At 40.1% G+C, this 26391-nt stretch overlaps 1 protein-coding gene across 5 annotated transcripts in view, besides 1 other annotated feature; it reads right to left on the bottom strand.

Moving 5' to 3' along the window:
- The window catches only part of TBC1D19 (TBC1 domain family member 19), a 282243-nt gene that overhangs the window by 67977 nt on the left and 187875 nt on the right, over window positions 1-26391 (bottom strand). For 2 of the 5 annotated variants that reach the window (XR_007057937.1, XR_001741277.2), the window contains one exon: window positions 26206-26347. Coding sequence is in view for 1 of the 5 variants with exons in the window: in XM_047415903.1 (XP_047271859.1) it covers window positions 26272-26347 (76 nt within the window). In the remaining 4 variants the exon portion in view is untranslated. Of the gene's footprint in view, window positions 1-553; window positions 2422-7587; window positions 26348-26391 lie in introns of those variants that run through there. The other 3 variants (XR_007057936.1, XR_925333.3, XM_047415903.1) reach the window with 3 other exon arrangements.
- Window positions 2977-3096: an enhancer, noted in NCBI's record as "active region_21399". NCBI's record gives its function as "activates an Ori minimal core promoter by ATAC-STARR-seq in GM12878 lymphoblastoid cells {active_cell/tissue: GM12878}" and the evidence as "EXISTENCE:reporter gene assay evidence [ECO:0000049][PMID:35858748]".

The following is a 26391-nucleotide window of genomic DNA, read 5'->3' as shown; positions in this document are numbered from 1 at the left end:
ACCATAAATAAATGTCAGTATCACCTTATCATTTCCCATATAAGCAAATTATTTTAATAATTATTTGAATAGAAAAGTGAAAATATTTTTGCATAAAACTCCATTTGGCTGAAAAAAATGTTTAAGTTGTCTGTCTCATTCAGACTATATCTCTTTGAGGAAAGTGACAGATTTTTGTTTTTCTTCAAGAAACATAGGAAAGTACTAATAAATGGCTCAACATATTTTTCTGTAATGCCATCTCTTGCCTCCAGAATGCAAACTTTACAGCTGTACAGTAAAATTTAATATTATCTTGGTGATAATCTAAGAAATAAAACTCTGTGGCCAACTGCCTTTGCAACCCCTAAACATAATTTTGTCTCTCTTTCTCTCAATATCTATCTATTTATGCATCCATCCATCCATCACGGTAATATCAATCATGGTTATAGCTCATCAGGTATGTTCCAGACACTATTCTAGTTCCAGTCACATATGTGACTTCATTTAATTCTTATAACAACCTATGAGGCAGGTTGACTGCTGTAAAAAACTCACCCTAACTTCTCAGTATCTTAACACAATAAAATTTATTTTTACTCAAGTAACAGTTCAGTGGAGGTGTTTGGAAGGCAGCCTTCCACATGGTGATTGAGAGGCCAAGGCTCCTCTTATCTGATGGCACCATCATCCCGCAGGGCCTCAGAGTCCTCTGAAGTAACCTCAGCCAGCAGATAGAATAAGAGAGAGTACGGAGGACCACCCAGAAAGTTTTGTTTATTATAAATTTAGAAGGTACAGGTGCAGTTTTGTTACATGGATATATTGCCTAGTGGAGTCTGGGTGTTTAGTGTAGCCATCACCTGAATAGTTTACATTGTACTCATTAAGAAATTTCTCATTCCTCACCCTCCTTCCACCCTCTCACCCTTCCAAGTCTCCAGTGTCTACTATTTCACGCTGTATGTCTGTACATTATTCAGCTCCCTCTTTTAAATGAGAACATGCAATATTTAAATTTTTGATTCTGGGTTATTTCACTTAAGACAATGGCCTCTAATTCCACCCATGTTTTTGCAAAAGACATGGTTTCATTATTTTTTATGGCTGCATAGTATTCCATGGTATGTATACTCCACATTTTCTTTGTCCAGCCATCCATTGATGAACACTTTGACTCATGACTTTCCTATGGTGCATAGTTCTGTGATAAACAAATTTTTTTGGTAAAATGATTTCTTTTGCCTTGGGTAGATACCCAGTAGTGAGATTACTGGATCAAATGGTAGATCTATTTTTCATTCCTTGAGACGTCTCCATACTGTTTTCCATGAGGTTATATTAATTTACATTCTCATCAACAGTGTTTAAGCATTTCCATTTCTCTGCATCCTCACCAACATTTGCTATATTTGACTTTTTAATAATAGCCATTCTGACTGGTGTAAGATGATATCTCACTGTGGTTTTCATTTGCCTTTCCCTTATGATTAGTGATGAACATTTTCAAATGCTTCTTGGCCATTTGTTTTGTCTTCTTTTGAAAAATGTCTGTTCATGTCCTTTGCCCAACCCAGAAAATTTTTATGGGCCAGATCTGGAAGTGACACATCATCCTCTGCCCACATTCTATTGGCTAGATAATTTAATCACACAGCAAGTCTAACTGCAAGGGAGGCTGGGCTAGAAAGAGCAGTCTGGCTGCCTGGCCAGGAATTGGTTTTAATTGGCACTTACCAATCTCTGCCAAAGGCCAAGTACTCAATTACACATGGGAACACCAAGGTATAGAAGTTTAAGAAACTTGCTCAAAGTTAAATTAGCAATAAATGATGGAGCTAAGATTCAAACCCAAGTTATTAGTCTTCAAACTGTGGGTTCCTTACATTACAACTATGTTGAAGATACACTAAGGTCAATTTGAGGTGACAACTACCCATCCACATAAATGAAAAAAGGGAAAAAAAGGTAACAATGACTTCCAGCAACTCCAGGGTGCTCCCATTTACTTGCTTACTCTCAATCTGCTGTTTCCCCTGAAATGTTCAGCCAAGAAGGCCAGTAGCTCAGCGACTCCCACCCTAAGTGCTTGAGAATTTGAGAGGCAGCTTCAGGGATCCTCCAACTGCAAATACTTGTCTCTAGAGCATGTTGTCCTCTTAACAGGAAGCCGACTTGATAGGTAGGTAGGGTCATGGGGTGGGAGTAGGCTAATTGGAAGGAGGGAAGGGGCTGGTGGCACAAAGGTTTTCAAAGTGGTCCTTCTTGACACATTTAATTTCTGTCTAGGGGGCTATGTTCAGAATGTCACAGCAGATTGCTTATTGTAGGTTCTCTCATGGGGCCAGGGCAGCAGAAAGAGGCCTAATGACTTTGCTTTCTCTCTCTTCTCTGTTATCCACTGGTGGTGTGGCTTTGAACAAATCACTGAATCATGCTCTGTGGGCAAAATGAGGAGTTTAGGTGTCACAACATAGAGAGAGGATCTTAGAACCAAGAGTATCTGATTAAAACTATGTGCCCTCTTTGCACAAAATGCACATACCCACCTAATTTTGCAGTTTACAAACTTCCTGATGAGTATCCGGGAACCTCCCATTAAGAAGAGGTGGATTCTAGGCACTTTTCAGCTCTAATGCTCTTGCTTTCCAAAAGCAAAACAGAACCGCTCCCCTTGACTCTGCTGCCTCCTATGGAAGGAAACCTTCCAGGCACCCTCTTGGTTCCTGTGTCAGCCCCCCTGTGTGGTTTGCTTGGTGGTAAAGCACAGCCCCTCCCCTGAACCCAGGGCCCCTGGGATCCCATAGTCACCTGGAACCATGCCGTGAAAATCAGCTGGCAGCCGGCCTTCTCTGCAGAGGCTTGTGAAAGGGTGAGTCACAGCAGATCGCTCCTCTGATTCACAGGTAGCATTTATTTGACAAAGGAGGTTTAAGGGGACTTGCTTCCCTTTGTATCATCTAATCTTTAAAAATCACTTGCTTCTTAACTGTCAGCCGAGAGTTTCTGTAGGCAGCAGTCTTTCAGCTGCTCCCTGGGGAGGGAGGAGAGTGCTGGCTGCCAGAGTCCTGCAGCTGTCCTGGGCACAGGAAGTCCACAGCTTCTTGTAAAAGGTAAGGGGAACTATAAATACTGTAAGAAGCCAGGAGCTTCCAAGTTCAAAGGAAGTCCGGATGTTGTCAAGGTCAGGCTTAGAGGAAAGGGGGTCCAGAGGGAACGTTCCTACTTCCTTCTGAACCTTCAGTAACCTCCATGAATCTCCAGGGAAAAGCCAAATCTCGTGACTTGACATGAAAAGCATGTCAAGTCCTCTACACTCAGGCTTCAATCTGCCTTTCCAGCCCCACAAACTTGTGGCTCTGGGAGCCCCCTCAGTGACACCAGATGCAACTCTAGCTTTTCCAGGCACACACTCTCATAGTGCTGCCCTTTCGTCAGAGACCGCCCTTTTCCTCTTTTCCATCCATCTCCATCCGGTCCTTTCTTCAGGCCTGGCTGTAATCCCATGTCCACCTGGAAACTTTTCTAGATCATTATTCATATTAATAAACCTAGTTTTAGACAGGCGCTGTGGCTCACGCCTGTAATCCCAGCATTTTGGGAGGCTGAGGTGGGTGGATTGCCCGAGCTCAGGAGTTTGAGACCACCCTGGGCAACATGGTGAAACCCCGTCTCTATTAAAATACAAAAAATTAGCCAGATTTGGAGGCACGTGCCTGTAGTCCCAGCTACTTGGGAAGCTGAGGCATGAGAATGCTTGAGCTCAGTATGCAGGGGTTGCAGTGAGCCAAGATTGCACCACTGCACACCAGCTTGGGCTACAGAGTAAGATTCCATCTCAAAAAAAAAAAAAAAAAAACTAGTTCCTCTTTATTATGTGTCTACCACATGCCAGGTGCTTCACAAGCCTTGTCACATTCAATTTTCTCAACAAGCTTGCAAGGCAAGTATTATCACTCCTATTTTATAAGTGAGGCGATTGTGTTTGAAAGGGTTAATTAAATCTCCTGAGGTCATGTAGCTAGTAAATGGCAGAAGAGCAACTCTTGTCTAATTGACTTCAAAGATACTGTGTAATGCTGCTGCACTCATGCACCCACCCACCCATTCATCAACCGGCCATTCGGCCCCATCTGGCTGCCATCCTTCCATCCTTCCACCCACCCATCCATCCATCCATCCATCCATCCATCCATCCATCCATCCAGGCATCCACCCACCCACCCACCCACCTATCCACCCACCTGTTCATGCTACCATCCTTTCAACTGGCTATCTATCCATTTACTTGCCCATCCCCAAAAACCTACATGCAGCAAGACAGCTCTCTCCCACCTTCAAAGTCCTGTGACACTGTGTTTGCAGCACCACCCCCCGATGTTGGCCCAGTGAAATACTTCTCCTTTTCTAGTTTAGGCACTGCCTCAGCCTCTCGAGTAGCTGGGACTACAGGCACTGGCCACCATGCCTGGCTAATTTTTTGTATTTTTAGTAGAGATGGGGTTTCACCGTGTTGGCCAGGATGGTCTCGATCTCCTGACCTCGTGATCCACCTGCCTCGGCCTTCCAAAGGGCCGGGATTACAGGTGTGAGCCACCGTGCCCGGCTGGTACTACTTCTTTAACTAGACTGGAAGCTCTAAGAACTGGGATCTGGTGTCCCTCACAAAGCCTAGCCCAGCACTTTGGCGACATTGAATACTCACTGACAACTGGCTAATGACTGAGCACTCACCCTGCTTTTATGGGCAGCCACGTCCCAGGAGCAAGAGGCAAGGTGGCTAGGCTTAAACGAGGCCATTCAAGAAATGTCAGCAGATGAAGGGTCTTTTGCCAAAGTCCTGAGCCAGTGCCTCCTGGAACCCAAAGAAACCCTAATTTCAAACTCTTTCAAAACCTTTTGACAGGGACACACTGCTGTCAAGAAAATCCTGTAATGAGCATGGAGCTTTAGCCTTGAGATTGTAATCACAGGAAATGTAGTGTTCAGTTTCCTAAGAAACCATTATTCTTTTTCTTTCCATTCTGCCTGCCTACCCCTGTGTATTACAATGGAAGCCTCTGGTGAGTGGAATACAAATCCAAAATACTCTTCAATAGCAGCCAAAGTGGTATTTCTAAAAAGTTCCTAAAGACCCCAGTGCTATGTGGCACAAAGAAAAGGAATGATAAAAGCAGCAGTTGTCTGAAACTGAATCTGTTCCTGTTCACATATATGAACAGACAAGCAGTTGTATTTACAGTCATCTCTACACACACACACACAGTGTACGTCTGTGTGTGCATGCAATGCCGTGGTCCCCACCCAAACACCTGCCCATCCAGATTGAGTTCTTTTTCTAGTCCTGCTCACACTTTGTGCATTATTTTTGCCACACTGTACTATGATCTTTTGTTTACCTGAATACTTCCTCCACTAGACAGAGAACTTCTTGAGAGGAATAACTATGTCATCATCATCGTCATCATTGTCATTGTAGTAATAGTTAACTTGTGTCACTGCTAACTATTGACATGGTTATCTTTTCTATGTACATTGTTGGACTTCATCCTGCCAAAACAACGCTGTGCTCTTACAGTTCTTGGGTGCCATTTTGTTCTCTGAAGTCCTTTGCATATTTCAGCAAGGTCTATCTTACTTTTATTTAATTTTTTAAAAGTTTAATTTTAAAAAGAAAAAGAAGCAACTATTTGGGAGAAATGTTAGGCTATCCCTACTTTTTCCCTTTATTGAATTTGTCATCCTAGAGACACTTTTGAATTGGATTGTAAAAACTACCAATGCCATGTCAAAATAATAGCTAGAGTGGGTAGGGAGATAAAAAGACCTAGATCTGAAATGGCTTCTAACATTTCAAATGGCTATGTGATTTTGGGCCAGTCCCTGCACCACTCTGAGCCTCAGTTTTAACTCATGTGAAGCAGTTTCTTTTGGTGGATATTGGGAGAACTAGGGAGGACCTAGGCCCAATGCTTAGCATGGCGTGTGGCACCAATAATAAGCAATAATAAATTGTGGTTATTGTTACCATTATTTTCATGGTCAACATTCACCCTTTGATACTGGAGAGTAACATAAGCTGGGATTTAGTATGAATGTATATCATGGCAGTTTTTAATTATCTAAAAATTATTAGCCAATGCTCCCCAAGGCAGAGAACTACTTTTCTTCTCATAAATTCAGAAAGTGCTTAGTATCAGAACATGAACCTGCTCTCCAAGAGATATAAGGATACTCAAGCATGTTGTCACTGGAGGCCTTAGGAGCTTTGTAGGCGGAGGAAAGCAGAAGTAGACAGTCTTGGAAATGTCTCTTTGGTATGTCAACAGTGAGAAGAAACTGTGAGAAGATTTGGGAATGTCCATAACAAAGGTTTCTGATGGGCAATTGGGTGGATTGCCCAGTGTTTCACCAGCCCAGCATACACTGGTAGCCTGAAGAAGCAAGGTGAGGATGAGGCTAGCCATAGCCTAAGATCTGAGGTTGGGCTCCAGGGCTCCTGCCAAGTGCCTTGGGTAGTCACAAGATGGCTATTGGCCTGAGAGATAAGAGGCTGACACAATAATTTTTAATCTCTCACTGCCTTCTCAATACTGGACTTATGGAACAAAGAGATGGTAGTAAAGACCCAGTCTCCAAGATTCTTTACTAGGAGACTCAATTGGAAGAAGCCCAGGGGTATCTCCTGGGATTCTGGGTAACCCTTGCTCTAATGCTGTCAGTCACCATAGCCTTTGTCTTAGCCTGCACAGTTTCTCTACCCCTACCTTAGTGTGAACAAGTTCATTCAGGTTGTTTTGTATGCCTGGGAAGGATGAAGAAGTTTTTATTGAGGGTGAAAAACTGGAAAGGCAATTTGAAGCCAAAGCCATTGAGTGGCCAAAAATCTCAACAAGATTAGTACACAGGGCTTCCAGGAGGATGGAGGATAAGTTCAACTCTGACCTGGTTCCCTGGTGACCAACAAAGAAACTTGAAGGGGGAGTTCTGGAGATGGCAACCACCAGAGGCACCTCTGGACCATTCCCAATGTTTTGAATTTAGAGAACATACTTGGATGCTCCTCATAATTTGGTGGCCTAAGATGCATGGTGGCCTAAGATGCATGGTGGCCTAAGATGCATGGTTGCCAGGCATTGTAGGGGAATTATGAGCAGCACATGTTTCTCCAAATGCAAAACCATGAAGAGCATTTCTTCTCAACTGATTCATCCCCACCCGCATCCTCCTGTCTTATATCTCCCCCATCTAGCTATTATTTTGACACTGTATTGCCAATCTTTACACTTCAGTTCAAAAAGCATACCCCCTTTATTTCTCAGAGATGACAAGTTCTTTTGCATAAAAGTGGATAAATAGGATTGGCTAATATTTCTACCAAATATCTTTTTTTTAAAAAATGTGCTTTTTATCTTGGAATAAGACATTCCAAATTGTTCTGATTATTCTGTTCAAAATGTTTGAACACTCAAAACGTTTTTCAGGAGACCTTCAATCTGAAACCAAACATTTTTCCCTCATTCATTTCAATAGGTGTTTCTCTAACATATGGCAAGTCATTGTCAGTGATGAGCATTTAGAATTAATCACTCCTTATGCCTTTAATTAAATCTTCAAGTTGGAAACTATGAGATACTTTATTCCAAATACCCAGAGAAAACATGAGCAGCCTTCATTTCTTGTTGTAACAATGCCAGTTTTCCATAATCTGACCTTCACGTGACACCAGTGGACCAGAACCTTTCTTCAAAGCACTGTATGTATTTTTATAACCTAGATGCTCAAGATGACGACAGAGGATTATCTTCGATTATTAAAGATGTTGGAACATTCTTTATTACAGATGGAAAAAATAGCCCCGCGGTTAGTTATGATCCATGCTTGAAGCTGATTTGAGTTGTCTTTTGTTGTCACAAGGTGTGGACTCCAACTGTGGATTGTACAGGATTATAAGTACCTATGTTCTTTAGGAACAATATTTCAAAGCAGATTAGATACATGACTCACACATTCTGCAGTCGTATTTTGCAGTAAATTGAGAGTCATGTTTGATCATAAAAAATTCAAATATACTTACAAAGAGAAAACAATCTGTATTCTCTTTCCTGAGCAAGCTGGTTTTTTTTTTTCTCAAGGAAAACTTTTGGATATATTGCTTTTGGGATATATAGTATGCTCTGTTTTCTTATTCCACACTCTTTTGTTTGTTTTATTAAAAAAAAAGTCAATGTTTTTAATCCATACATCCTTTTCTTCTAGAATATGAATAAATAAATGATTAGTCACTAGAAACACTGGCATAGCCACAAGATGCCAATGTCAAAAGCAATCTAGTTTGACAGTAAAGCTTTTGGTTTAAGCTTTGTCTCTCAAGCACAGAAAGTACAATGCTAAATTTAAGAGAAAGATGCAAAACTACATATAATTAAGAGTCTAATTCCAGTTTTGACGTTTGGCTGCTGACAACTTTCAAGCCCCGTGACTGCCCTTTCCATTTGGTTCCACATCTGGACAAGCTGATAAGAAAACCCCAGTGCACCAGTGAGAAGTTCAAACCATGCAGTGTTCAGTCTGTGTGCAGGAGCCCTCCACTCAGCCCCACACTCTAACTGCGATAAAAACCCCAAGCTAGTCTCCTTTCCCTGCTTTCTCAAGCCATTTATGGACTTCCTTGGAATCCTACTCTGCTCTTTCTAGAAAGCCTCATTATGCAAGAAACCTTTCCATACCCTCTTAAGATGTATGTGTGACATCATCAGTTTTGACATCTGAACCAAATTTTGGGTTGGGGGGAGTCCATCCTGCCTCTGCGGGGTGATAAAAACAGTAGAGTGTGATTTCATTAAAACATCTTAAATATAGATACATATCAACCATTACATATGTGAGCAGGAAGAAAAGCCACAAAGAAATACACCAAAACATTCACAGTGATTATCTGGGCAGTAGGATATGTGTGCTTGCTTTCCTCTTCATGTTTCTCTGTATTTTCTAAAATTTCTGCTATAAAGGTATATTTTTTTTATAAGCAGATATCAATGTAACATGGAAGTGAGTAAAAAATGTTCTGCCTTAAGAGAAAATAATTAAAATGCTCAAATCATTTTTATTAGTTTTTAAACATTTGCCTAATCCTGAATTACAAATACAAAAAAAAAAAAATCAACCTTGATGATCTATTCTTCCTCTCTCTTAAAAAGAAAACAAAGGAAACCTAAGTAGAAGTTAAGTTTCACTTTTTAGTAAAGTTGTAATCTAATCTTTGAAACTATTTGGATGTAAGTCAGCATGGGAAAACATATTTCTGCTAAAAATACCATTATCCTCAGGACTTAAAGGCTGAACCAAACTCATTTAAACCTAGAACCACTTAAAATGTTAATTAAAAAGGTATTAACATCAGCATCCTGCATGTGGCCAATCTTGCAGATTTTTACCCTAGGAACAGTAGGTCCTGTTCTGTAAATTTCCTTTTAGATAGATTGGGGTGGCGAAAAGAGAGAAACTACATAGGCCAGACACACACGACCTCCCAGTGGAAGAGGTTTTATTTCCCCCGTCTTAGAGGTGAGAGAACTGACATCCAAGGTCACATCACTAGGAAGTTGCAGAGAACCAGGTAACCTGACTTGAGAGCCTCACTTTGTTACCCAGCCCCCCTTACCTCTAGAGAACCCCAATTCAACCTGATTTAAAGGGGCTCAACAAATAATGGTTTGATAAAAGCAATGGCCCTCAAACTTGGACTTGCACCAGAATCACCTAGAGAGCTGGTGAGACACAGAATTCTGTATCCCAGCACCAGAGATTCTGCTTCAGTAGGTCTGGGATGGTGTCTGACAATTATTTCTAACAGGTTCCCAGGTGATGCTGATGCTGCTTCCCAGGGACCACACTGAAAATAGTAAGTGAGAGCAAGAACCTCAACTCTGGACTTTCCAAGGCACATAGTTCAAGACCTGGATCCTAGAGGCCCTAAGTATTTATGTAATTTATTTGATGCTTAAGGCTGCCGGAGGGCCTGTGTAGCCACTGAGCCTTGCCATCTCATAGATGGCAAATCTCCACACATCAGGAACTTCCCTCCAGAGGTGCCAGGCTTCCTCCATTGTCCTCAATTGGCTAGTCAGCTACCCCTTAGGTGAAGTTTTACTAGGCCAATGACTCACTTCAGGGCCAGGAAATGTCTTCTCTCATTTCAGCCCTAAAAAGCCTACATAGAAATAGTACTCTCAAGGGAGGTGTTACAAGGCTGGGGCAAGTGAAGACAGGAACTTAAGTCTACTCAGACCAGTTGCAGGAGACCAGAAGCCTGTCGCAAGGGCTGAAACAGATTGCACTGTGGGTAGCTGGCTACTTGCTAGCTGGGACACTGGTCTTGGGCAGTTTGTTGAGCCACCTCATCTGGGAAATGAAGTTTTTCCTTGGCTGTCCTTTGGGAAGCAATGAGGATTAATTATCATCTGATGCTGTTAGTAGGGAGGAGAAACCTGCTCAATCTCTGAGCCACATTGCCTCTTTCAGTTCCCAGAGTAGCTTTCCCTAAATGGTTGGAAACTGTAAGGAAATTAAAGAGTCTCAAGAATCTGGGTGAAAAGTGTTATTCCGCAGGGTAAAAAGGTTATGTTCTGACGACCAGTTTTATCTGGCATGTGGTAAGATGCCTTGTTAACTAGTGCTTAGGAAAATGTCATTGAATAAGCCCCAAATAAATGTGGGACGATCCTAATTTAGAAACAGATTTTAAGAATCCTCTACTTGGCTGCCTTTATGTTGAATATCCTAAGGTCTCAGTTTTTCCCTTCTCTTTCTGTTCTTTCCTGTCAAAGCTAGACAAAGTGAATTAGTTTGCTCTTCTGTAGAGGTTAACTTTTGGCCCAGTGGAATTCTGGGTAAGTGTTTCGCCATCTCAGAAATGGCCAGCTAAGGCTGTTGAGGATTCCTTAGCCCTGGCATGTCCAGAGGGAAGCCCTTACCTAGCTACACCAGCAAGATTTCCCACTCTGCCACAGGCCAGGGGATGAGTCAAAACTTTGGGATACAGCCAAACCCAGTGTGGACCTGCCACCACACTCGACAAGTCCCACACAACCTGCTGATGACAGTTGCTTGGGTCTTGCCAAGGGAAAAATATGTAAATTATAAGCTGGAGTGAGAATAGTTCATGTTCAGTCCTGCCAAGCTATCAGACCACATATTGTGTGTCATGAATGGATCTGTGATGAAAAACAAATCAAGTTCCATCATGCCATATCTCTTAGGCACTTATCCCCAGGGCCCTTCTTATTCTGCTGGCTTAAGCTCCTCTGTGTTATGGCCTGAGATTTTGCAGTTTTGACTTAGTCCAAAACCCAAGTAAGCACACAGCAGACCAAGCAAGTGCCCCAGTTGCTGCTGGGAAGCCTGGAGACAGGAACCCAGGGAAAAGAAAGAGAAGGACCCGGGGAAAGAAAGGTAGACAGATGGTGAAGGCACAGGCAATGAGAAAAAAGTATGTGTTTGCAAGAACTCTTGCCTTGGGGCTGCAAGCAGCAGCCTGATCCCAACTGTCTGGCACACCTAGGTGGGTCTGCCCAGCACCAGGTGTGAAGTAACCTGGGGAGCCTTGTAAGAGCCTGCAGCACCTCCACCCCTTCTCCCGGAGTTCCTTTTTTGCTCTCAGGTGGAGTTAGAAGGCCAGGACTGTGCCTTAGAGAAGCTTTCCTTGATTAGATGCTATTTGTATTTATTGACATTGTTGAAGGAGGCTTCCGGTAGTTTCATTTAACTCCAGAAACTTTTAGGAGCAGCAGAAACTACCATTCGAGAACTTGTTAGAAATGAAGAATCTCAGGCCCCAAACTAGATCTACTGAATCAGCATGTGAAGATGAGAAGCTCCCAGTATTCTTAGGAACATGAAGGACTAACCGTACTGTTTTAAGACCTAGCTCCCAAACATGGCTATACTTTGGATCACTTGGGGAGTTTTAACATATGCTATGCTCCATCCCCAGAGATTCGGATTTGATTTAATTGATAGGGGTTGTGGCTTGGGTATCAGGAATTAAAAATTATTCCAAGGGATATCAGTATGCCATAAAATTTGAGAATTATAGCCTAAAATACCTTTAGATTTTTCTCTAGACCAGTGTTTCTTAAATTGTAATGGAGATTGAAATAACCTGGAGATCTTATAAAAATTCAGAATCTCATTCAGTAGGACTGGAGCAACTGAGATTCTTCAGTTCTAATGGGGTTTCTGGTAATGCCAATGATGCTGGTCCAAGGGCTAGATTTTGAGAAGCAAGACTGTAAGGCATATGAGAGTGACCATCTGAAGGAAAAGCAGTGAAATAAACTCAGAAAGGACCCAGGCGGCAGGGTAATATGGAAAAAAGACCTAAAGATTCATAGTTGAGCAGACCTCGGTTCTGGTTCTTCCCCTACCACCTGTGGAATCTTGAATAAATTATATAATCTTTCCTTTCCTTTTTCCTTTCCTTCTTCCCTTCCCCCTTCCCTTCCCCCTTCCCTCCCCTTCTCTTTCCTTTCTTTCTTTTTTTTGAGATGGAGTCTCACTCTGTTGTCCAGGCTGGAGTGCAGTGGCACGATCTTGGCTCACTGCAAGCTCTGCCTCCCAGATTCACGCCATTCTCCTGCCTCAGCCTCCCGAGTAGCTGGGACTACAGGCTCCCGCCACCATGCCTGGCTAATTTTTTCTATTTTTTAGTAGAGACGGGGTTTCACTGTGTTAGCCAGGATGGTCTCAAACTCCTGACCTTGTGATCCATCCACCTCGGCCTCCCAAAGTGCTGGGATTACAGGCATGAGCCACTGTGTCCGGCCTCTTTCCTTTCCTTCTCTCTCTCTCCCTCCACACCCCACCATGTCTCCCTCCCCTCCCTTCCCCTCCCCTTCTTTTTTTCTTACAGGGCCCTGCTCTGTTGCCCAGGTTGAGACGCAACTGCATCCTCAGCCTCATGGGTTCAAGCAATCCCCCCACCTCAGCCTCCTCAGTAGCTTGGACCACTGGCATGTACCGCCACGCCCTGTTAATTTTTTATAGAGACAGCGTCTTATTATGTTTCCCAGGCTAGTCTTGAACTCCTGGGCTCCAACAATCCTCACACCTTGGCCTTCCAAAGTTCTGGGATTACAGGCATGAGCCACCATGTCCAGACAAAAAATCTTTCTGATTATCAGTGTCCTCAATTTAAAAATGGGGGTAAGAGGCCAAGAGCATTGGTTCAGACCTGTAATCCCAGCACTTTGGGAGGCCGAGCCTGGTGGATCACTTGACGCCAGGAGTTAGAGACCAGCCTGGCCAACACTGCAAAACCCTGTCTCTATTAAAAAGTACAAAAATTAGCCAGTTGTGGTGGTACACGCCTGTAATCCCAGCAATCCCAGCTACTCTGGAGGCTGAAGCATAAGAATCGCTTGAATCCAGGAGGCGGAGGTTACAGTGAGCCAAGATTATGCCACTGCACTCCAGCCTGAGGGACAGAGAGAGACTCTGTCTAAACAAACAAAACCAAACAAACAGGCAGAGTGCGGTGGCTCACGCCTGTAACCTCAGCACTTTGGGAGGCCAAGGTGGGCAGATCACCTCAGGTCAGGAGTTCGAGACCAACCTGACCAATATGATGAAACCCCATCTCCACTAAAAATACAAACATTAGTGGGGCATGGTGGCGGGCACCTGTAATCCCAGCTACTCAGGAGGCTGAGACAGGAGAATCGCTTGAACCCAGGAGGCAGAGGTTGCAGTGAGCCAAGATTGCACCATTGCACTCCATCCTGGGCAACAAGAGTGAAACTCCGTAAAAAAAAAAAAAAAAAAAGAAGAGAGAGAGATGCCTAATAGAGCTATGTAAAGATATAAAGTGGCCTGTCCCAGCGTTTCCTGTAGAATAACACCAAAACAAGGAAATAAAATAAATTCTGCAACTATAGTTCTACAAGCTATAATTCAACAAAACGTTCTTGAAATAAAAAAATTTGAAATTACATATTGAAAGAGCACACGATGAACTTCAAAATGTGAACACAAAACAACAAACAGAAAGATATATATTAGTTATTACTTGGCTTAATGAAAAGGAAAAAAATCCTTACAAAATCTAGGCAAAAACTGCAAGTGATTTATAAGGGAAAGAAAATTAGATGACCATCTAATTTTAAGCCAGAGAAAAACAGAATAACATATTTAAGATACACAAGGAAAGAAAATGTGAGCCAAGCATTTTACATGTAACTAAACTTACTTTCAAGAAAAAGAGTACATACAAGCTCTTATCAACATATAAACTTAAGAGATTATTTTCTCCCATGAGCCCTTCTTGAGGTATCTAAATAGAAAACAAGCTTCAGACAACCAAAATGACTAGGATGACATTGACACAAGTACAGATGGTGGGTATTCAATATAATTACTTGTAGAACTAAGACTAAGGGGTTAAATGGACTAGGATATAGTCTGCTCTGGCTATATGCTCTGACAATGTAGACATAGTGCAAAATTGGGAAAAACATATAATACAGACATTTACAAACTCTTCTGTTGGGGTGAGTTTTGTTATCTTAAGACTATTATATGTGAATTGTTGGATAAAGCAAATGAATGATTATAGATATTTTATCCCATCACCTCTTGTATTCTTGAAAACTATTATTAGTATGCAGAAAAAAATTATATATATATGAAAGCTTAAGTAAAAATACAAAGTCTGTATTTGAATTTGAAATTACCTCTGAGCACCTGAAAAGGCCTAATAACAATGACCAACCTACTAGCAATGATTAGACCTAACGATCAGATTGTGGCCTTAAAATATTGTTTACTACTAAAAGATACCATGACTTCTTTGAGAATTGACTAATTTCAGGTTTTGGGTAGAAAGTGTATAAGATAAACTTGGAACATCTTGTCATACCTGATGGCAAGTAAGCTTTCAATGATGACTAGAGTCATGACAAAAAAAACTTTACTCCTTGAAGTGGCTGTCACTGACTGAAGATGGGAAACCTTGAACCTCAATAAGGATAAAAACTGCATGGGAATGAAACCCATAACATATCACATTTAACTACATAAGTTCACAATGATATTAAAAAAAAACTGACCACCTTTGAAGAATAATAAGATACCAACTCATTGCCTTGAAAACTGACAAATAAAGGGAAAGCCCTTTATTTGTCAGGATCAAGCAAATCCTGGCTTTCCTGTATGAATTTGTCTTAGTCCATGTTGTTCTGCTATAACAGGATACCTGAGACTGGGTAATTTATAAAGAACAGAAAGTTATAGTTCTGGAGGCTGGGAAATCCAATATCAAGGTGTTGGCATTTGGAGAGGACCTTTTTGCTGTGTCATCTGATGGTGGAAGGGCAAAGAGTAGCCACCCTGAAAGCCCTTTTAGTAAGGCACACATGAAGCTGGAGCCCTCATAGCCTAATCATCTCTTAAAGTCCCCACCTCCCATACCATTATATTGGCAATTAAATTTCTTTGTTTCTTTCTTTTGAGACAGAGTCTCGCTCTGTTGCCCAGGCTGGAGTGTGGTAACACAATCACAGCTCACTGCAGTCTCCACTTCCTGGACTCAAGTGATCTTCCCACTTTAGCCTCCTGAGTAGCTAGGACCATAGGCGTGTGCCACTATATCTGGTTAATTTTTAAAAATGTTTTGTAGAGACAGGGTCTCACTATGTTGCCCAGGCTGGTCTCAAACTCCTGGGCTCAAGTGTTTCTCCAGCCTTAGCCTTCCAAAGTGCTGGGATTACAGGTGTAAGCCACTGCATCTGGCCTGGCAATTAAATTTCAACATGAGTTTTGGAGGGTACAAGCTTTCAAATCATAGCAGTACTGCCCTAAATTATTAAAATGCAATTTACCAGTTCTCAATACTAACATACGAAAAGAGAAAACTTATATGGTTATTCTCAATGGATACAGAAAAGTCATTTTTACAAAATTCAACCTTAGTTCCTAATAAAAAAACTCTCAGCAAACTTGGAATAGAAAGGAAATTCCTTAACCTTACAAAAGGCTGAAGCCTGCTGCTCATATGTAATGGAGACAGAATAAGTGCTTTCCTTCTTAGATTAAGAACTTGTGAGGGATATCACTCTTACAATGTCTACTCAATGTTTTCTTGGAACTTTTAGCAATGCAAACAGACAAGAAAAAAATAAAAGATATTGATATGGGAAAGGAAGCAGTAAAACTGCCTTTATCAGCAGACAATATTATCGTTTATGTAGAAAATATTAGATAATCTACAAAAAAATCTACTAGAACTAATAAGTAAGTTTATCAAGGTTTCTGGTTATAAGATCAATATACAAAAATCAATTGTATTTCTATATAGTATAACAATCCAAAATTGAAATTAAACAACAGCACTTATAATAGCATCAAAAATATGAAACCCAGGGAAAATTCTGACAAGAGATGTTCAAGACCAGTACGCTGACAACAAATGCAGAGATATACCATGACAACATTGCTAAGTGAAATGGAAAAAGATTTAAATAGAGAGATATACCATGTTCATGGATTGGAAGATTCAGTATTATTAAACGGATTAGACTTTATTGTGGAGATTGACAAACTGCTTCTATAATCACGTGTCAAAAACTGAACTAAGAGAGTGCTGATCTGCCAGGAATCAGCATAGCTGATTAAGGCAAAAAACTAAAATGAAAATAAGAGTCAAGCCTTTAGTCACTTGCTGTACTATGATGGTATAAGCAATGTGCCACCTCCCTTTATTTTCCCTGTAAAACAGCTCTGGTTGAGGATCAGGTGGATCAGTGCAGCTGTGGGGAATGGTCTCAATGCCAAAGGAGCCCTGCCCCCCAAAAGGCTCCTGGTGTATTATGGACCTGGGGACCAGGAGGTGAGAGAAGGGAAGGGGTAGGAGAAAAAAAGTACTGAGTATTGGGTTAATGCGGAGAAAAGCATCAAGTGTCCCCTATTTCTACCTAGATAAGGAGATCTTAGCAGAGGCACCTGAGGAAGGCCTCTGCAGAAAGCCCCTGTGCAAGGCTTCTAATAAAGAGGCCTCCAGGCAACACGTTACCCAACTTCAAACTATGCTACAAGACTACAGTAACCAAAACTGCATAGTACTGGTACAAGAACAGACACATAGACCAATGGAACAGAACAGAGAACTCAGAAATAAGACCACACACCTACAAACCATCTGATCTTTGACAATCCTGACAAAAACGAGGAATGGGGAAAAGATTCCCTATTTAATAAATGGTGCTGGGAAAACTGGCTAGCCATATGCAGAAAATTGAAACTGAACTCCTTCCTTATACCTATATAAAAATTAACTCAAGATGGATTAAAGACCTAAATGTAAAACCCAAAACTATAAAAACCCTAGAAGAAAATCTAGGCAATACCATTCAGGACGTAGGCATGGGCAAAGATTTCATGACAAAAATGTCAAAAGCAATTGCAACAAAAGCAACAATTGACAAATAGGATCTAATTAAACTAAAAGCCTTCTGCACAGCAAAATAAACTATTATTAAAGTGAACAGACATCCTACAGATTGGGAGAACATTTTTGCAATCTATCCATCTGACAAAGGTCTAATATCCAGAATCTACAAGAAACATAACAAATTTACAGGAAAACAAATAAACAAACCCATTAAAAAGTGGGCAAAGGACATGAACAGATACTCCTCAAAAGAAGACATACATGTGGCAAACAAACATATGAAATAAAGCTCAATATTACTGATCATTAGAGAAATGCAAATCAAAACCACAATGAGATACTATCTCATGCCAGTCAGAATGGTGACTATTAAAACGTCAAAAGCAACTGATGCTGGTGAGGTTGTGGAGAAATAGGAATGCTTTTACACTGTTGATGGCAGTGTAAATTAGTTCAACCACTGTGGAAGATAGTGTGGTGATTCCTCAAAGACCCAGAGACAGAGATAACATTTGACCTAGCAATCCCATTACTGGGTATATACCCAAAGGAATATATATCTTTCTGTAATAAAGATACATTCATGCATATGTTCATTGCAGCACTATTTACAATAGCAAAGACACGGAATGAAACTAAATGTCCATCAATGATAGACTGGATAAAGAAAATGTGGCACATATACGCCATGGAAAGTATGCAGCCATAAAAAGGAATGAGATCATGTCCTTTGAAGGGACATGAATGGAGTTGGAAGCCATTATTCTCAGCAAACTAAAGAAGGAACAAAAAACCAAACACCGCATGTTCTAATAAGTGGGAGCTGAACAATGAAAACACATGGACACACAGCAGGGAGCAACACACACTGGGGTCTGTTGGGGGTGTGGGATGAGGGAGGGAGAGCATCAGGAAGAACAGCTAATGAATGCTGGGCTTAAAACCTAGGTGATGGGATGATCTGTGCAGCAAACCACCATGGCAGACGTTTACCTATGTAACAAACATCACATCCTGCACATGTACCCCTGAACTTAAAAGTTGAAGGAAAAAAAAGATGGCTCCCCCCCACCCAGAAAAAATAAAGAGGACTCCAAATGGAGGTACTTAGGTGAGGAATGCAGGCATGTGTAAGAGCATGGTCAGCCAGATGGGCCTGAGTCTGTGACTGCAAGACCCTTCAGGGACTGCAATGCTCTGGCTGTGCACCAAGTCTGGTGAGGGGGTAGTCAGCTTCCTCCCTTGAGACCTGCGAGGTAAAGCCTTTGTAATTGCCTATAGTAGGATCTGAAAAATCACATGTAGACTTTGGCCAGGAGCCGGACTCCTTAATAAAGAGATGCAGAGAATCCACAATAGCCATAATTACTCAAAAAAAAAAAAAAAAAAGTTGGAGGGCTAAAACTACCTTATGTCAAATTCACAGGCATGAAGTTGTCCATAGTATTTCCTGCAGTTATATTATCTCTCTCATTTCTGATATTGGTAATATTTATCTTTTCTCTTTTTTTCCCTAATCAGTCTGGATAGAGGTTTACTAATTATACTGACTGCATTGAAGAACCAAAGTTTTGTTTTAATGACACTACTGTTTTTGTTTTCTATTTCATTGATTTCTGTTCTGATCTTTATTATTTCCTTATTCTACTTATTTTGGGGTTTAATTTTTTCACTTTTTTCTAGTTTGAAAAATGTGATAAGAACACTTAACATGAGACATACCCTTTGAACAAAATTTTAAGTGTATAATACAGTATTGTTGACTATAGCACAATGTTGTGAAGCAGATCTCTTGAACTTATTTATCTTGCATAACTGAAGCTTTATACTATTGAAAAACGACTCTTCATTTCACCCTCCCCCATCCCCTGGCAACAGCCACTCTGCTTCTGAATTTGACTATTTAGATACCATATATAAGTGGAATCATGCAGTATTTGTCTTTCTGTGACTGGCTTATTTCACATAGTATAATGTCATCAAGGTTTTCTCATGTCATAGATGGCAGGATTTTCTTCTTTTTTAAGGCTGAATAATATTCCATTGTATGTATATACCACCTTTCTTTATTCACTCATTTAGGTTGTTTCCATATCTTGACTATTAGGAATAATGTTGCAGTGAACATGTGTTCAAATCTCCTTGAGATCCTGATTTCAATTCTTTTGGATAAATATCCAGAAGTGAGATTGCTGGATTGTATGGTAGTTCTATTTTAACTTTTTGAGGAACCTCCATACTGTTTTCCAAGCAGCTGCACCATTTTACATTCCCACTAACAGTGTACAAGTGTTCCAATTTCTCAACATCGTTGTGAACAGTAATCTTTTTTTTTTTTATAATAGACACCTTGACAAGTAGAAGGTGACATCTCATTGTGGTTTTAATCTGCATTTCCCTGATGATTAGTGATATTGAGTGTCTTTTCATATGTCTGTTGACCATTTGTATGTCTTTTAGTTTTTTAATAGAAACCAAGATCACTGATGTGAGATCTTCCCCTTTTCTATAATAATATTGGTATTTATAGTACAAATTTCCTAGTAAATACTGCTTTGACTGAATTTCAAAAATTTTGTTGTTTTATTTCCATTTTCATTCAGTTCAAAATACTTTCAAGCTTCCCTTTTGATTTATTCCTTGACCTATGGGTTATTTAGCAATCTGTTAGTATCCTCAATAGTTCAAGATTTTTCCAGATATTTTTGTTATCAATTTCTAATATTACTCATTGCAATCACAGCACATACTTTATATGGCTTGAATCCTTGTAAAATTGTTGAGACCTGTCTGTTTTTTGGCCCAAAATATATTTTATACTCATAGAAGTTCTGTCTGCACTTGAGATTAATGTATAGTTTGCTGTTGTTGGGTGGGGTGTTCTATAAATGCAGTTAGACATAGTTGGTTAATAATGTTGTTCTTCTGTTATCTAAAATTAGTCAGATTTCAACACCCCTTTATCAATTATTGGTGGAATAGGTAGAAAAATCTAGAAGAAATAAGAACTATAGATTTTTCTACTTACTCATTCCACCAATAATTGATAAAGTTTGTTGAAATCTGATTAATTGTAGACTTGTCTGTTTTTCCTTGCAATTCTATCAGTTTTGCTCCATATATTTAGAAACTCTGTTATGTGCATAAATGTTTAGCACTATGCCTTCTTGATGAATTCACCTTTAACATGATAATGCTTGCTGCTTTGAAATCTCTCTAGTTTACTTTTGATTAGTGGTAGCATGATCTTTTCTCACCCTTTTACTTTTAACCTAATTGTGCCTTTATATTAAAATGGGTTTCTTGAAGGCAGTATATAGGTAGGTCTCATCTTTTTTAATCCAGTCTGACAATCTCTGCCTTTTAATTGAAATTTTTGTATTTAGATTTTTTATTTAATGTGATTATTGATATGGTTGAGTTTTAATCTACCATGTTGTTTTTTTTTTCTATTTTTCTCCATCTGTTTTTTGTTTCCTTTTTATTCCTTTTACACCATCTTTTGAAAACATATTTTATGATTCCATTCTATCTCCTTTATTAGTTGTAACTCTTTGTTCTTTTATTTTAGTGGTTGTTTGAAGATTTAAAAAATATACGTATTTAACTTATCACAGTCTACCTTCAAGTGATATCATTTCATGTATATATAGAATAAGAACCTTATGGCTGGACTTGGTGTCTCATGCCTGTAATCCCAGCACTTCTGGAGGCTGAGGAGGGTGGATTGCTTGAGCTCAGAAGTTCGAGACCAGCCTGGGCAACATGGTGAAACACAGTCTCTGCAAAAAAAATACAAAAATTAGCCAGGTATAGTGGCAGACACCTGTAGTCCCAACTACTCCCTGGGAGGCTGAGGTGGGCGGATTGCTTGAGTTCAGGAGGTTGAAGCTGCAGTGAGCTGAGTTCACACCACTACACTCCAGGCTGGGTGTGAGAGCAAGCCCCTGTCTCAAAAAAAAAAAAGAACCTTAAACTATATATTTACATTTTCTAATCCTACTTGCTGTTGTGCTATTGTCATACATTTTACTTGTACTTCTATATAAATCTCATGATTTATTATTATTGCTTTACACTGTTTATTTTTAAAATAGATTTAAATAATAAGAAAAAGCCTTTCTATTTACCCACATGGTTATTATTTCTAGTGCTCTTCATTCTTTTATGTAAACACACATTTCCTTTTAGAGCCATTTTTCTTCTGCTTGAAGGACTTCATTTACCATTTCTTTCGAGGCATGTCTGCTGGCAAAGATTTCTTTCAGCTCTTGTAGGTGTGAGAAAAAATCTTTATTTCATATTCATTTTTGAAAGATGTTTTCACTGGATAAAGAATTCTAGATTGACAACATTTTTCTTCCAGTGCTTTAAAGACATCGGTCTACTGCCTTCTAGCTTGTAATATGTTGTCATCCTTAATCTTGTTCCTCTCTACAGGACAGGACTTCTTGGGCTGCTTTTAAGATTTTCTCTTCATAACTAGTTTTAGCTAAATTTATTATCATGTGTCTTCTTGTAACTTTCTTCATGTTTCTTCTGCTTGGGGCTTGTTGATCTTCTTGGACAGGAGAGTTTTAATTTTCATCAAATTTAGAATATTTTTGCCATTATTTTTTGAGATATCCTCCCCTGCTTCCTTTGGAGATTTCAATTACAAGTATATTAGGTTGTTTAAAGGTGACATACAGATAATTGACTATCTTTTTATTATTTTATTTTTAGTTTTTAATCTCTGTATTTCATTTTGGATAGTTTCTATTGCAATATTTTCATGATTCACTAATCTTTTCTTCTAAATTGTCTAATCTGCTGTTAAAATAAGCAGTTCCTTTTCATCTTAGACACTATTTTTTAAATCTAGAAGCTTTTTAATATCTTCCATGTCTCTACTTAACATGGCCAATTTTCCTCTGGCTTCTTTAACAAATAGGACAAAGTTATAAAAAGTAATGTTCTTGCTTATACATTCTATCATCTGTGTCATTTACAGTCCCTTTTGATTTATTAATTTTGTTCCTATCATGAGTCTAATTTTCCTGCTTCTTTGCATGTCTGGTAATTTTTTATCAAATGCCAAGTATTGTACATTTTACTTTGTTTGAATGCTGGATATATTTGTATTCTTATAGTCTTGAGGTGTGCTGATATGGGGTTAAGTAACTTGGCAGTCATTTAATCCTCCTGAGCCTTGCTTTTAAGCTTTGCTAGGTTGGACTAGAACAGCATCTAGTTTAGGATTAATATTCCTTCCTGAGGCAAAACCCTTTTGAGTATTCTACCCATGAATGCTGGTAGGAATAGCCACTCTTCCTGGCCTGTGTGAGCTCAAGAGATTACTCCCTTTAATCCTTCTGAGTAATTCTTTTTCAGCCTTGGATAGGTTCCTCATGTGCATGTTCTGAGGAAAGCTCCCAGCTGAAAAGTTGAGGGGATCTTTTGCAGATCCTTAGAGTTCCCTCTCTGTGCATCTCTCTCCTCTCTGGTACTCTGTCTTGTGAACTCCTGTCTTGGCCTCCTGGAACTCCTAATCCCATCTCTTCAACTCAGCAAGAAATCCAGGTTCCTCCTGGGTTCCTCCTTTTTATGTTGCATCATGGAAACTTTCCACAGGCAGCAAGTTAGGGCAACTGTAAGGGTCACTGTCCTTAGTGCTTGATGTCCCATATCTTGAGAACTATTATTTTGTATAGTCTAGATTTTGAGTTGTTTCAGATGAAGGGTAAATGGGTAAATTTGATTCTGGTTACTCCATTGTCTTAATCAGTGCAAGCTGCTATAACAAAATTTAGCAGCAGGGTGGCTTAAACTACAGAAATTTATTTTTCACAGTCTGGAGGCTGGGAAGTCCAAGATGAATGTGCTGGCAAGGTGAAATTTATTCTGAGACCTCTAGTCTTGCCTTATAGTGCCACCATCTTGTTATGTGCTCACATGACCTCCTCTTTGTGTGTGAGAAGAGTGAGAGGGGAGAGAGCTACGTTCCATCATGGTGGCTCTACCCTGATGACTTGATTACCTCTCAAAGGCCCTGCTTTCTATACCATCACATTGGAGGTTAGGGCTTCAACATATGACTTCTGGGAGTGGGGCATAAACACTCAGTCCATCTCGGACAGAAATGGAAATTTATTCAAGTGGTGTTTTGAGGAAGACTATCTCTGTAAGATATTAATAGTTTGTGTATATGCAATGCTGAGAAACTGTGGGATAAATGGAGTTATTCAGGTTGTTTATTGCAGGAATTCTCAGAGTATATAATGGACTAATGTGCAGTATAAATCTCCATGAGGAAAATACAGCACAAAACATTTCATTTATTTATTTTTTATTAATCAGTTGACTGAAATAGAGTCTCACTCTGTCACCCAGGCTGGGGTACAGTGGCATGATCATGACTCATTACAGCCTTGAACTCCTGGGCTCAAGCAACCCTCCTGCCTCAGCCTCTCAAAGTGTTAGGATTACAGATGTGAGCCTCCATGCCTGGTCTCGCAGATTTATTGCTCATGAAACCCTAAAAATGGCAGAGCACTTCTGATGTGTCTTATTGTTCTGAGCTTGCTATTTTATGCATCACTACATACCTATTAATTGTATGTCCCTTGATGATAAGAATAGATTTCTTCTTCTTCGTAAAGTGTTTAGTATTAAATATTCTATATGCATTATCTCATTTAACCTTTAGAGTAACCAGACCTATTTGGTACTGATTTACATTTTGTAGATGAAGAAATCAAGGCTTAAAGGTTAAGTAATATTACCAAAGTCACACAGTTAGTAAATAGTGGAGCTGGGATTCAAGTGCATGCCTGGTAAAATCTAAACAAAAAATATGGGTATATTGTGAAAATATTTGTTTGCAACAGTAGTGACTATTCCTTCTGTCTCCAGTCCAGGTGTTACTAATATGCATAGTTCTCCACAAAGCATGGGTGTAGAAACTCTCCCCTCCTCTTTCAACTACCTCCCTCACATGGCATAGGTGTCTGGTGGTTACTTAGGAGTGGAGAAAGACCTGAGAATCTGGAAGGTGTCCTCACACAGTGGTTGCGTATTTATATTGGTAAGAGAAGTCTGGAAGGTCAACCAAGGTATTGTTCCTATTCTCTAGCTGAGGCCACTCAACTTGTCTTAGGGCTGAAACGCTGGGTTGGCCTTCTGTTGAGGAGAGTATAGTTCCTGTTCCTCATACAGTGCTCCATTACAACATTTCTGTATTTGGCCACCAGCCTGGCATTATTCAGACCTCTGACAGAGTTGGGGAGCACTCTCAGGGTGAAGTTCTATTTGCCATCCTCAGACTCAAATCTTTCTTTCCAGACATGTATTCAGTTCTTTCCTCTTTCTTTAGGCTCTCACACATGAAATACTCATTCATCTACTTTTCTCCTATGCTAGGGGAGGAAATCCATCAATGTAAAAAATAGTATGCCTCTCTCCATATCTCTGTCTTTCACAAACACTCTCCCCACCTCCCCACCATGGGTCAGTCCATCACCCAAGTCTTGGCAGTGTATCGTGCATGTGTTATGGGTGCAAATTAAGTTGTGTATCGAAAAGAATTTGTTGCTTTATATTTCAAAAAAACCTTGCAGTGATTCCATTTATAAAGGAGGAATTATTTTGTCTGAAGATAATCCCTCCCCATGCCCGAAGTAAGTAGAAACAACAAATAGGCAGAAGTCAGAAGAGAAGAGAGGAGAACCAAATTCACTAGATTAGAAAAAATAGGTGAGTCACCAAACTAGTGTAGTGATAGAGCAGAGACTACCACAACTCCTGCTGTCTAAGAAGCAGCTGACTTTGATTAGACCATATCAGGCTTCCTGAGGCAGTAGGTGCCCCTCCCCAGAGACAAATGATCTAGACCACAGCAGTAAAGTTTATTGCTCAGTCACCTCTGAGGAGACGGTTCACCTACACATCCCCGTTTATTCCACTCCTTATCAGAACTTACTCTCTAGGCATCAATTACCTAAATACTTTCTTCCCTTTATCTGACCTAATTTGCTCCCCACTTCTCTCATCCCCAAATTCCCCTCCTTAATAAACCATCCCCCCCTACCTCTTTGGAATTCCCAGCCCCCAATATGAGTTCATTAAAATCCTGGGTTTTTCAATCTCTTTTCTGGAGATCTATTCACAGTCTCACTTAACTAAAAGCAGGCTATATCTTGGGGACATGGTTTCTCTGAAACCCTTTCAAACTTTTTTTCTCTCCTCCCCGAAAGTGCTTCAGCACCAACCTTACTCCTCAATGCCAATTTTAGAGTGTTATTCCTCCTTCCTTCTTGCAAACCCCCTCTGCTCCTTTGAGGCTCATGCCATCTGGTTCTACTACTCTTCCGCCTCCATCCTGCTGTCGCCTACTAGTAGTCTCTGGGTCTTTCCTCCTCATTCTCAGGGAAGTGAGCTTGCAACTCAGTTTTCTTCTTTATTCCTACCCTACTCCTATTGTCCTTTGTGGCTTCAACATGTACTCTCATGATTCATCTAACATCATGGATTCTTGGTTTTTTGACTTCCTCATATTTTCAATGATATTTTCTTCTACCCTATTTCAGCTATCCATATGCCTTACATTTTTACATCAATAAAAATGGCATCATCTCCAAAATTTCAAATGCAAATATCACATTCTGACTACCAATATTAACCTTCCACGTTATGTGCCTTCAAAATTACCATTCTCTCAGAAGCACTTTTACTTTTTTGTTGTAACCTTTAATCCATTTACCCCTCTTTATCCATATCCATCACCAAACCCTCCTTACCTTTTATTTCTCTTCTTTTCTAGGTTATATTCCATGACCCATCATTATAGGTTCTTCCTTGCAACCTCAACTTCTTTGTTCTGTTGAATGAGATTTGGAGTCCAATAAACTGCACTCTTCTTTCTGCCTGAGTTCAGCAGTACTTGAGAGAGAAAATTAAAATCTAGGCTGATGAAAGCAGATGAA

Source organism: Homo sapiens, chromosome 4 (genome assembly GCF_000001405.40).
Source record: "Homo sapiens chromosome 4, GRCh38.p14 Primary Assembly".
Classification (NCBI taxonomy): domain Eukaryota; kingdom Metazoa; phylum Chordata; class Mammalia; order Primates; family Hominidae; genus Homo; species Homo sapiens.
This window is presented reverse-complemented; position numbering and strand designations above follow the sequence as displayed.